The sequence below is a fragment of the Homo sapiens genome, chromosome 8, assembly GCF_000001405.40.
Source record: "Homo sapiens chromosome 8, GRCh38.p14 Primary Assembly".
NCBI classification, from domain to species: domain Eukaryota; kingdom Metazoa; phylum Chordata; class Mammalia; order Primates; family Hominidae; genus Homo; species Homo sapiens.
The window spans coordinates 57,467,808-57,480,869 of record NC_000008.11 but is presented as its reverse complement, the minus strand read 5'-3'; the positions used below and the strand labels follow the sequence as shown (position 1 = coordinate 57,480,869).

The 13,062-nt window shown below is 35.7% G+C and overlaps 1 long non-coding RNA gene across 1 annotated transcript in view, besides 1 other annotated feature; it reads right to left on the bottom strand.

Annotated features, from left to right (window-relative positions):
* LOC105375855 (uncharacterized) overlaps positions 1 to 13,062 on the bottom strand; it is an 88,963-nt gene that overhangs the window by 70,796 nt on the left and 5,105 nt on the right. The window lies entirely within an intron of this gene.
* Positions 11,494 to 12,137: an enhancer, noted in NCBI's record as "NANOG hESC enhancer chr8:58381292-58381935 (GRCh37/hg19 assembly coordinates)". NCBI's record gives its function as "activates a minimal SCP1, AML or CMV promoter by ChIP-STARR-seq in primed H9 embryonic stem cells {active_cell/tissue: H9 hESC(primed)}" and the evidence as "EXISTENCE:reporter gene assay evidence [ECO:0000049][PMID:30033119]".

Genomic DNA, 13,062 nt, shown 5'->3' with positions numbered 1-13,062 from the left:
AATAGATTTCTTCTCAAAAAAAAAAAAACCACTTCACATTTTTTACTCATCCACAAGAAGCAACTCCTCATCCATTAAATTTTTATCATGAAATTGCAGCAATTCAGTCACATCTTTAGGGTCCACTTTTAATTCCAGTTGTTTTGGTATGTCTACCACATATGCATTTACTTCCTCCACTGAAGTCTTAAATTTCTCAGTTATCCTTGAGGGTTGGAATAAACTTTCTTCAAACTCCTGTTAATGTTGATATTTTGACCTCCTCCCATGAATCACAAATATTTTAAATAATATCTAAAGTGGTGAATCTTTTCTCAAAGATTTTCAATTTACTTTCCTGAGATCTATCAGAGGAATCATTATCTATGCTGAACAGCCTTAAAAACATATTTCTTAAATAATTTTGAAAGCCAAAATTACTTTGTAATCCATGGGCTACTGGATGTTGTTAGCAGGCATGAAAAGAACATTAATCTATTTGTACACCTCCATTGGTGATTTTGGGTGACTAGATGTACTAACAATGAGCATTAATATTTTCAAAAAAAATCTTTTTTCTGAGCAGTAGGTCTCAACAGTGGGCTTAAAATATTTGCTAAGCCAGCCGGGTGGGGTGGCTCAGACCTGTAATCCCAGCACTTTGGGAGGCCGAGGTGGGCAGATCATGAGGTCAGGAGATCGAGATATCCTGGCTCACACAGTGAAACCCCATCTCCACTAAAAATACAAAAATATTATCCGGGCTTGGTGGTGGGGGCCTGTAGTCCCAGCTATTTGGGAGGCTGAGGCAGGAGAATGGTGTGAACCTGGGAAGTGGAGCTTGCAGTGAGCCAAGATCACGCCACTGCACTCCAACCTGGGCAACAGAGCAAGAGCCCGTCTCAAAAAAAAAAAAAAAATTGTTAAGCCATGCTATAAAGAGATGTGCTATAATGCAGGCCTTGTTCCATCTATAGAGCACAGACAAAGTAGATGTAGCACAATTCTTAAGGGTTCTAGGATTTTTGAAATGACAAATAAGCATTGGCTTTAACATAGAGTCACCAGCTGCATTAGGCCCTAACAAGAGCGTCAGCTTGTCTTTTGAAGGTTCGAAGCCAGGCATTGACTTCTCAGCTATGAAAGTCATCTTTCAATAGAAACCTGTTTTGCAGGCAACCTACGGAATGGGAGAAAATTTTTGCAAACTATGCATCTGACAAAGGTCTAACATTCAGCATCTATAAGGAACTTAAACGAATTTACAAGTAAAAAACAAACAGCCCCATTAAAAAGTGGGCAAAGGACATAAACACACACTTCAAAAGAATACATACATGTGGCCAATAAGCATATGAAGAAAAGCCCAATATCACTGATGATTAGAGAAATGCAAGTCAAAACCACAACGAGATACCATCTCACATTAGTCAGAATGGCCATTAATAAAAAGTCAAAAAATAACAGATACTGGCAAGGTTGTGGAGAAAAAGGAACACCTATACACTGTTGGTGAGAATGTAAACTAGTTCATTCATTGTGGAAAGTAGTGTGGTGATTCCTCAAAGAGCTAGAAACAGAACTGTCATTTGACCCAGCAATCCCATTACTGGGTATATACACAAAGGACTATAAATTGTTCTACCATAAAGACACATGCACACAAATGTTCATCGCAGGATTATTTGCAATAGCAAAGACTTGGAATCAACCTAAGTGTCCATCAATGACAGATTGGACAAATAAAATGTGGCACACATATGCCATGTAAATACTATGCAGCCATAAAAAACAGAGATCATATCATTTGTAGGAACATGGATGGAGCTGTGGCCATGATTAAACTATTACAAGAACAGAAAACCAAACACCACATGTTCTCACTTATAAGTGGGAGCTGAATGATGAGAACTCATGGGCACAAAGAAGGAAACAATAGACACTGAGGCCTACTTGAGGATGGAGGGTGGGGGAAGCAGAAGATCAGATAAAATAACTATTGAGTATTAGGCTTAGTACCTGGGTGATGAAATGATTTATACAACAACCCCCTGTGACGTGAGTTTACCTATATAACAAATCTGCATATGTATCCCTGAACCTAAAATAAAAGTTTTAAAAAGCTGTTTTGTCTGCATTGAAGACTTGTTGTTTACTGTAGCCACCGTCAATAGTGATCTTATTTAAATATTCTGGATAGCTTGCTACAGTTTCTACATCAGCACTTGCTGCCCTACCTAGGTCTTTTATGTTTGGAGATGGCTTTTTTTTTCTTAAATCGCATGAAGCAATCTTCGCTAACTTCAAACTCTTTTTCTGCAGCTTCCTAACCTCTCTCAGTCTTCATATAATTTAAGAGAATTAGGGTCTTTCTCTGGATTAAAATTTGGCTTAAAGGAATGCTGTGGCTAGTTTGATCTCTCCAGAGCAGTAAAACTTTCTCCATGTCAGCTATAAAGCTATTTCACTTTCTTATCATTTGTGTGCTCACTGGAGTAGCACATTTCATTTCCTTTAAGAACTCACCGTTTGCAATCACAACTTAGCTAACTGTTTGACACAAGTGGCCTTGCTTGTGGCCTATCTCAGTTTTAGTCATGCCTTCCTTACTAAGCCTAATCATTTCTAGCTTTTGATTTAAAGTGAGAGACATGCAACTTTTCCCTTCACTTGAACACTTACAGGTCACTGTAGAGTTACTAATTGACCTAATTTCAATGGTGTTGTGTTTCAGAGAATAGGGGGGCCAGGAAAGAGTGAGAAATAGAGATATGAAGGAATGGCTGGTCATTAGAGCACTAACACACACGACATTTGTTAAGTTCACAGTCTTACATGTACATGTACATCTACATGTATACAGGTTACATTGTATACATAGGTATACAACTGCAATGGTAACATCAAAGATCACTGGTCATATATCACCATAACAGATGTAATAACAATGAAAAAGTTTTAAATATTGCAATAATTACCAAAATAGGCACAAAGACACAAAGTCAGCACAAGCTGTTGAAAAATTAGTGTTGATAGACTTGCTCAATGAGTTGCCACAATTCTTCAATTTGTAAAAAACACAGTACCTGATAAGTGCAATAAAGCAAATCACAATAAAATGAGTTATATTTGTACAATTCTCTTTCCATTCAAATTGAAAAGAGCTAGCAATGTCAGAGAACTGTGCACTATGGTTAGTAGTTCTGTATGATGCATATACATGGTGAAGTTTAATAATACTGAGTAGCAAAAGCCCAAGGAATTATAAAGTTAAGTCCAATTAAACCAAGTACACAATTAATAAAGATGACTGCTTATCCTGAAGGAATAAATAAATTACAAATGTGAATAAAGAATCTGAACCTTGACCCCCTCCCTCCCTTAGAAGGAAAGATGAAATGTGAAAAAAAAAAAAAGATTTGAGCTGATGGTTTAAAATGATTAGCTAGCCCTCAAAGTTTAATGCAGAAAAATATGAAGGATTACTTTTTTAGATATCAAGAATATATTAAGAGTATTTTAAACAACTTTCTGACAAAATTAAATTTGTACTTAAACAAATTTTAGTACAGAACCAGATACACTCACTGGTAAAATTCACCAAACATTTAAAGAAGAATTGATACCAACCCTTCTCAAACTTTTCCAAAATGTAGAAAAGGGAAAAATTTCTAACTAATTTTATGAGGTCAACATTAGCCTGATACTAAATACAAAACAAATCACAAGAAGCCACAAAACTACAGACTAATCTTCCTTATGAATCTTGACATAAAAATCCACAATAAATTATGAGACCGAATCTAACAATACATTAAACACTATGACCAAGTGAGGTTTACCTAGAAATGCAAGGTAAGAATATCAATTAATGTAATATATCACATTAATAGAATAAGGGGAAAAGCCACATGACTATCTTGATTGATACAGAAAAAGCATTTGAGAAAATCTAACATTCTTTCATGATAAAAAGACATTTATGAAAAACCCACAGCTAACATCAATTTCAATGGTAAAAAAAATTGAAAGCTTTCTCCTTAAAATCAGGAGCAAGACAAGGATGCCTAGTTTAAGTACCAATATTCAACATCTTACTGAAAGTTCTACCCAAAGCAACTAGACAAGAAAAATAAATAAAAGTCATTCAAATTGTAAAAGAAGAAATGAAACTATCTCTATTCACATGACATGACTCTCAATATAGAAAATCCCCAAAAATTCACCAAACAAAAGATTCAAATGAATAAACAAATTCAGTAAAATAGCAGAATATAAGCTCAACACACAAAGATCTGTTGTATTTTTAAACAACAGCAATAAACATGATAAAGGAGAAATTAAGAAAATAATTTTATTTACAACAGCATTCGAAGGAATAAAATACTTAGGTGTGTGTTTAACTAAAAAGATTAAAGATTTGTACATTGAAAATTATGAAACATTGCTAAAAGAAATTAAATAAAACCTAAATAAATGGAAAGACACATATATTTATGAACTAGAAAATTTAATATTGTTAAGATGGCAATAATATCCACAATTTTAAAACGATGTAATACATTTCATATTATATTTTAATGGTCTTTTTGCAGATATGAAAAAAGGTGATCCTCAAATTCATATGGAATGTAAGGGGCCCAGAATAATAAAAATGATATTGAAAAAGAACAGCCAATTTGGAAGTCTCACACTTCTCATTTTCAATACTTACTATAAAGTTACAGCAATCAAGAGAATGTGGTACCAACATGAGAATAGTCATACAAATGAATGAAATGGAATTGAGAAGCCATAAAGAGATTCATACATCTATGGTCAATTTAATTTTGACAAGGGTGAAAAGACTCTTCAATAGGGGAAAGAATAATATCTTCAACACATGACACTAAAACAAACGGTCATTCTCATGTGAAATAATGAAGTTGGACTCACATACATCATATAAAAAAATTGACCAGAAATGGATCAGTGACATAAATATGAGAGCTAAAACTATAAATCTTGTAGAAGAATACAGAGCACATCTCTATGATCTTATTTTGACCACAAATTCTTACAAATGGCATAAAAAGCACAAGCAAGAAAATAATAAGTAAATAAATTGGGCTTCATCAAAATTAATACTTTCTTGCATCAAAGGACATTATTAAGAAGGTAAAAAGATAACATACAGAATGGAAAAAAATGTAAATCATATCTAATAAGAGCCTAATATCCAGAAAGGAACTTTTCAATTCAATAACAAAGTCTATCAAGCTCAATTTAAAAATGAACAAAGACTCAAATAGACATTTCTTCAAAGAAGATATATAAAAGGCCAACAAGTACATGAAAAAATGCTTAGCATCATTAGACTTTAGGAAAATATAAATCAAAATGACAATGAAATATCACTTCACATCCACTAGAATGGCCTTATTTTTACCAAAAAAAGTGAAAAATAACAAATATTGAAAATGTAGAAAAACTGGAATACTTGTACATCACTGGTGGAAATGTAAAATGGTTCAATTGCCATGGAAAATATTTTGGCCATTCCTCAAAAGGTTACACATTAAATTACCATATGACCTAGGTTTCCACTGCTAGGTGTATACCTAAAAGAAATGAAAACAGGCACTCAAACAAATACATGTACATGCATGTTCATAGAAGCACCATTTATCATAGTCCTAAATTAGAAGCAATACAAATGTCCATTAACTGATGAATAGGTAAATAAATTCTAATATGTATGTGTGTGTATATATATATATATATATATATATATATATATACACACACACACACACACACACAATAGTTCAATGGTTTGAGTGTTTTTGTCCTTACAAAATTCAGGTTGAAACCTAATTGCCTCTAAAATGCAGGTGAGGCCAATGTAATGATGTTAAAGGTGGAGGAGCCTTTAAGAGGTGATTAGGCCATGAAGGCTTTTCTTTTGTTAATGGGATTAAGGTCCTTATAAAAGAGCCTTCACACAGCTTTAAGCTAGCTTACAAGCCTGACTTTTCACCTTATTCCATGTGACGACACAGTAAGAAGGTACTTACCAGACCAAATGATGGCCCCTTTATCTTGGACTTCCCAACCTCTAGAATCGTGAGAAACACATTTCTGTTCTTTATAAGTTACCCATTCGGTGGTATTCTGTTAAAGCAGTGCAAACAAACTAAGGCAGAAATTGGTACCAGAGAAAAGGGGTATTTCTATAACAGATACTTAAAGATGCGGAAGTGGTTCTGAAACTGGGTAATGGGTAGAAGCTCAAACAGTTTTGAAGTGAATGATGGAAATAGCTTGTAATGCCATGAACAGAACATTGTTACATGTGTAAACATTAAAGGCCATTCTGATGAGGCCTTGTTCCACATGGAAATGTGGAACAAGGTATGGGAAACTAGAGGAAAGGCCAACCTTTTTACAAAGTGGCAAAGAACTTGGCTAAATTATGTTGTGTCCTAGAAAATTTATGGAAGGAAAATCTTACGAGGATGAACTAGTTTTGGCAGAAGAAATGTCTAAGCAGCAAAGCATTCAGGCTGTGATGTGGCTTCTTTTGATGGTTTGTGGTAAAATGCAAGAAGAAAGAAATAATTTAGAGACAGAATTTATAACTAAAAGGGAAGAAAAATGTAAAGCTGTGAAAAATTATCAGCCTAGCTGTGTAAACAATAAATATGTATAGGAGAGAAAGCCAAGAATGTGGCCATAAGGAGATTATTACAGATAGAAACAAGCCATGTGGCTATTCATTAAGAAAATGAGGCAATGACACTGAAGATGTTTCAAAGACCTTTGAGGCTGGCCCTTTGATCACAGGTCCAGACTGTCAGATCCTTGAGGACAGAAAATCTTAAAGAGGTGGGTGCAAGGTACGTATGAGAACACAGGGCTCTCTGCCTAGGGTCGCCTCAGGTCTCTGCTCCTCACATTCTAGAATAGTGTATCTTGGCCACCCAGCTGTGGCTCAAACAGGGCCAAGTTCACTGAATTTTGGGAGCATCCATGTGGTGTTAATTCTACAGCAGAGTACAAGAGCTATGAAGATATAGCTTCCTCCACCTAGATTTCCAAAGATGTTGCAGACAGCCTTGGAACCCAGGCAGAGACTTGTTGCAGAGGCAGAGTCACCACAGATAGCCTCATTAGGGCAATGCCCAGTGGAACTGTGGGGCTGGTGCCATCATAGCAAGTCCTCACTAGGGCAATGCCTAGTGGAACCATGAGAGTGGGGCTGCTCCTGAGACCCCAGAAATGTGGAGCCATCAGTATGCCACTCCAGTCTGGAAACACTACAGGCAAGCACCCTCAGTGTGTGAGAATTGAAGCATGGGCTGCACGCAGCAAAGCCATGGGAATGAGGATGCTTAAGGTCTTGGAAGCTGAACCCCTACTTCAGTGTGTCAGAAGGCAGGACATGGAAGTCAAGATTATTCTCAAAACTTAAGATTTAATGTTGTTTGCCTTGTTGGGTTTTAGACTTACTTGGTGCCTGTTACCTCCTTTCTTTTTTCCTTTTTCTCCCTTTTGGAATAGAAATGTCGATTCTATGCCTATTTCATTGATAAAGTATGCCACAGCTGATAGACAAAATGGATTCTTCATGGCTACTGAGGTGCTTAAAGTTAAAACATAACCAGATGGCCATGGCTGGGTAAGGGAGTGAACACATACTCTGTGTTCTCAGAAAGATATTTTAAAAGTGTCACAGGACCTCCCTTTTCACAATCAAGCAAAATAAGTTCCTTTTGTTGATGCCAAGATAAATGGTGCCTAAAAAAGCCATCCCCCACTGGCTGTTTGAAAGGAACATCTGACAGAGACTTCTGGAACAAGTCTGAATTCTTCATTTGCATAAGTGAACCTGATTGAAAACTGGGGTGAAAACTTATTCTATATAAGCCAGACCCTCCCTTTTCCCTTTGCAGATCTCATGATCTGTTGTTGACATCACCATTGTATTTTGAAAGCATATAATTTGTTTAATTTCAAAGCTTCCATGGGAGAATTTGCATCAGCATGAATTACATATTGAGTCTCACCCATATGATGTTTAGATAAGACTGTACTTAGACTTTAAAGTTTATGCTGAAACTCGTTAAGACTTTTGGTGCTATTAGGATGGAATGAATGTATTTTGCATGTGAAAAGACCATAAAAATTTTGGAGGACCAAGGGGTGAAATGCCAAGGTTTAAATATTTTTGTACCGTACAAGATTCATGTTAAAACATAATCCTCTCTAAAATACAAGTATTGCCATTGTTATAGTGTTAAGAGGTCAGGACTTTAAGACGTGATTAGGCCATAAGAGCTCCTCCCCCATTAATGGGATTGAAGTTCCTAAAGAAGCTTCATACAGCAGCATTTGACTAGCTTGCTAGCTTGTCCTTCCACCCTCTGCCATGTGAGAATACTTCCTAACCCATTCTATACGGCCAGCATTACCCTAATGCCAAAAGCAGACAAAGACGTTACGAGAAAAGAAAACTATAGACCAATATATCTCACGAATGAGGATATAAAAATATCAATGAGATATTAGCAAATCAAATCCAACTGCATAAAAAGTCTTATATGCCAAAACCAAATGAAATTTATCCCGGGTCTAAAAGACTGATTCAATATTAGAAAATCAATTAATGTAATCCATCACAACAATGACTAAAGAAGAAAAAAACACACGATCTTATTAATAGATCCAGGAACAACATTTGACAAAACCTAACATCTCTTTTTTGATTACAAACTCTCAGTAAACTAGAAATAGAAAATAACTTTCTCAACTTGATAAAGAATATCTACAAAAATCTTTCGGCTAACAAACTTAATGGTGAGACATTTGAAGTATTTCTACTCAGATCAGGGACAAAGCAAAGATATATTACTCATTACTGATTTTAAACAGTGTAGTAAAAGTCCTAGATAATGTAGTAATAAAAGAAAAGGAAATAAGTTATTCAGATTGGGAAGGAAGAAATAAAACTGCCTTTGTTCACAGATGATATGATAATCTATGTAGAAAATCCAAAAGAATTGACAAAAATCTCCTGGCATCAGTAAGCTAAGTTGCAGGATACAGATTAATATATAAAAGTTTATTGCTTTCCTATATACCAGTAATGGACAAGTAGACTTTGAAATTAAAAACACAGTATCATTTATATTAACACCCTCAAAATGATATACCTAAGTATAAACCTATAATATATAAGGTCTATATAAGAAAAACTATTAAATTCTGATAAAAAAATAAATTCTAAACTGAGAGAAATTTTATGTTCATGCATAGGAAAACTCAATAATGTCAAGATGTTATTTCTTCCCAACTTGATTATAGATTCATTCCAATCCCAACCAAAATCCCAGAACATTATTTTGTAGATATTGACAAACTGATTCTACAGTTTATGTGGAGAAGCAAAAGACTCAGAATAGCCAACAGAATATTGATGCAGAAGAACCAAGTTGAGAGATTGACACTACCTGATATGGTTTGGCTGTGTCCCCACCAAAATCTCATGTTGAATTGTAGCTCCCACAATTCCCACCTGTTGTGGGAAGGACCCAGTGGGAGGTAGTTGAATCATGGGGGGAGCTCTTTCCCATGCTGTTCTGGTGACAGTGAATTAGTCTTACAAGATCTGATAGTTTTATAAAAAGGAGTTCCCCTGCACAAGGTCTGTCTTCCCTGACACCATGTAAGATGTGATTTGCTCTTCCTTGCCTTCTGCCATGATTGTGAGGCCTCCCCAGCCATGTGAAACTGTGAGTCAATTGAATCTCTTTCCTTTATACTTACTCAGTCTCAAGTATGTCTTTATTAGCAGTGTGGAAACAGACTAATACACTACCCAATCTCAAGACTTAGTATAAAGCTATAGTAATCAAGTGAGCATAATATAGCTAAAAAATAGAAAAAAAGATCAATAGAGCTGAATAGAGTCCATAAGTGGATGCATACACATACAATCAACTGATCTTTGATAAAGGAGCCAAGGCAATATAGTGTCTCAAAGACAGTCTTTTCAACAAATACTGCTGGAACAACTGGACATCCACATGCAAAATAATAATACTAATGATAAATCTAGACGTCGACCTTATACCCTTACAAAATTTCACTCAAAATAGATTTTATTCCTAAATTTTAGGCACAAAACTATAACATTTCTACACTATAACATAGGAGAAAACCTAAATATCTTAGGTATAGCAATGACTCTTAGATATAATACCAAAGGCACTATTCACAAAAGAAATGATAATCTGAGCTTCATTAATATTTAAAACTTCTACTCTGAAAAAGACAATATCAAGAGAATGAGAAGACAAGCCACAGACCGGGAGAAAATATTTTTTGCAAGAGACGTATCAGGTAAGGAAGTGTTATCCCAAATATACAAAACTCTAAAGTCCCAAAACTCTAAAAACTCAACAATAAGTAAGCAGATTAGAAAGTGAGCCAAAAACCTTAACAGATACCCCACCAAAGATCTACAGATAGAAAACTAGCACATGAAAAAATGTCGTACATCTATCTCAGGGAAATGCAAATTAAAGTAAAAGTGAGATACTACTGACATCTATCAGAGGGCCAAAATTCATAACATAACATTGATAACACCAAATGATGGTGAGGATAGGGAACAACAGAAACTGTAATTTATTGCTGGTGGGAATGCAAAGTGGGTTCAGCCACTTTTTAGGACATTTTAGTGGTTTCTTACAAAACTAAACATATTCTTACCATACAATCTAGCAATCATGCTCCTTAATATTTACCCAAAGGAGTTGAATTATGTACACACACAAAAAAACTACACATGGATGTTGAAAGTAGGCCTATTTGTAATTGCTGAAACTTGGAATCAATCAAGATGTTCTTCAGCAGATGAATGGATAAATCAACTGGTATATCCAGACAATGGAATATTATTCAGCATTAAAAGAAATTAGTTATTAAGCCATGAAAATACATAAAAGAACCTTAAATGCATATTACTAAGTGAAAGAAGCCAATCTGAAAAGGCCACATACTATATGATCCCAACTATATGACTTTCAGGAAAAGGGAAAAGCCATGTAGACAGTTAAAAAAAAAAAAGTGTTGTCAGACTGGGGTGTGGAGGTGGGAGGAATGGATATGTAGAGGATTTTTAAGGCAGGGAAAATACTCTGTATGATGCTAATGATGGATATGTGTTGTTAAACATTTGTTCAACTCACAGAATGTACAACGGCAAGAGTGAACGCTAATGAAAAACTGTGGACTTTGGATGATTATGATGTACCACTGTAGTTTCATTACTTTTCAAAGATTTTCCACTCTGATGGGGTATGTTCCTAATCGGGAAGGCTATATGTGGGAGTTACGCAGGGCACATAAGGAAATCACTATATTTTCTCTCAGTTTTGCTCTGAACCTAAAAGTGCTCTAAAAAAGGTTGTGTGTGTGTGTGTGCTTCTATTTGCTCATTGTAACAAAGTAACATAATCCCACATATGCTAAGGAAATGCAGAAGGAAAGTTTCCTCACTTTAATAGTTTTAATTCAAGAATTCCAGACCTAAAAGCTCACTTCGAGAAAGAACTTCAGTGTCTGCATATTGGCCCACCCATTCCACATTCCAGTCCTGGCTGCTCCAGTCTTTCCATGTGAATCACTCAGACTCTGTTCTTGGACTCCAGCTGGGACTTGCTTCCCTGAGCCAGACCATTCCTTTAGAGTAGGTCTATTGGAAAGTTCTTTCATGTAATCAGCTAAGATAGGCATCCCTGAGTGACAAATATCAGAAATAATGAACTTAATCTCCAGATACGAGTGGGGTCAACCTTGTAACCCCCTGGGGTGGTACTGATGATACAGTTTGCAAGTATCGTTAACTGTGTCTGTTATTCAAAAGCAAGTTCACATTCAACAATAATCACTCTGACTTTATCAGAGTTCAACAGGTTGTATTATACATATTCAGGTCAACCAGTGATCAAATTCATTATTTGATAATTTATTTTTAACTTAAATTCTCAACAGTTGCTCTGAGGACTCTCACTTGGAAGCCAACTCCAGGCATCACCTCTGATCAAAGATGAGACTGGAAAAATAGAGGAATGAACCCTCACATTTGTAATGTGAACTATGAGTCAAGTGAACCAGCACACCAGAAACAACAGTAATGAAAAAATTACAAAACCTCCAGTGAACACACACACTTGCACCCACACAAAGATACAAACAAATGCATTCTACTAAGTGTAGTACACATGCTATTTCATATAATCCTTTCAACAATCTCATGATGTAGATACTAGAATACTCCCATTTTATAGGTAAGGGAATTGAAGTAGATAGACTTAGGAATCTACCCAAGGTCATACACCTAGTAAACAGTGAACTGTGCCACAGTTTAGAAGTAAGGATTTTCACTATTGTGATATTCTGCCAGGCCATGGAAAGGACAAAAATGAGGAGTTACAGACCCTAAATTCTAGTTTAGTTGCTGCTATTTGCTTTGTTTCCTTTGGACAAAATCACCTATTTGCTTCTTTGTGCCTCTCCTTCTCCCCTCCTTTCTCTCCTCCTCTGTCCCCTTCCCCTCTTCTCCCGGGCTCTTTCCCTTGTCCCCTCTCCTTCCACTACATTCTCCAGTTCCTCTCCTCAGCCTCCTCCTTCTCCTTCTCCCTCTTTTACTCTAAAACAATAGAATTGCATTAGACTATCTCTTTGGTCCAGCTTTAGCTGACATGTTCTGTGAATCCATGCTACAAATAAATACAAGAATATGTATGGGGCAGGTGTCCCTGAGAATATTCTTAGAAGTCTCCTTTCTTAGGGTGAAATTATGTATATAAACTGAATTCTAATGGTTTACTGTTTTTATGGAAAGAGGAATGCAAAATTGCAAGAACTTGTGCCATCTTTGACATTCCCTGATCTGTGATTCAATTACATTCCAATATGAGGGTAAAACAAGTAAGCAAATTGACTGAAAACAATATGCTGATGTTATTTTGGAAAGTAAATGTTTTAAATTCATCTCAAATAAGCTCTACTATTGATGGACGTTGTCAGTTTTCA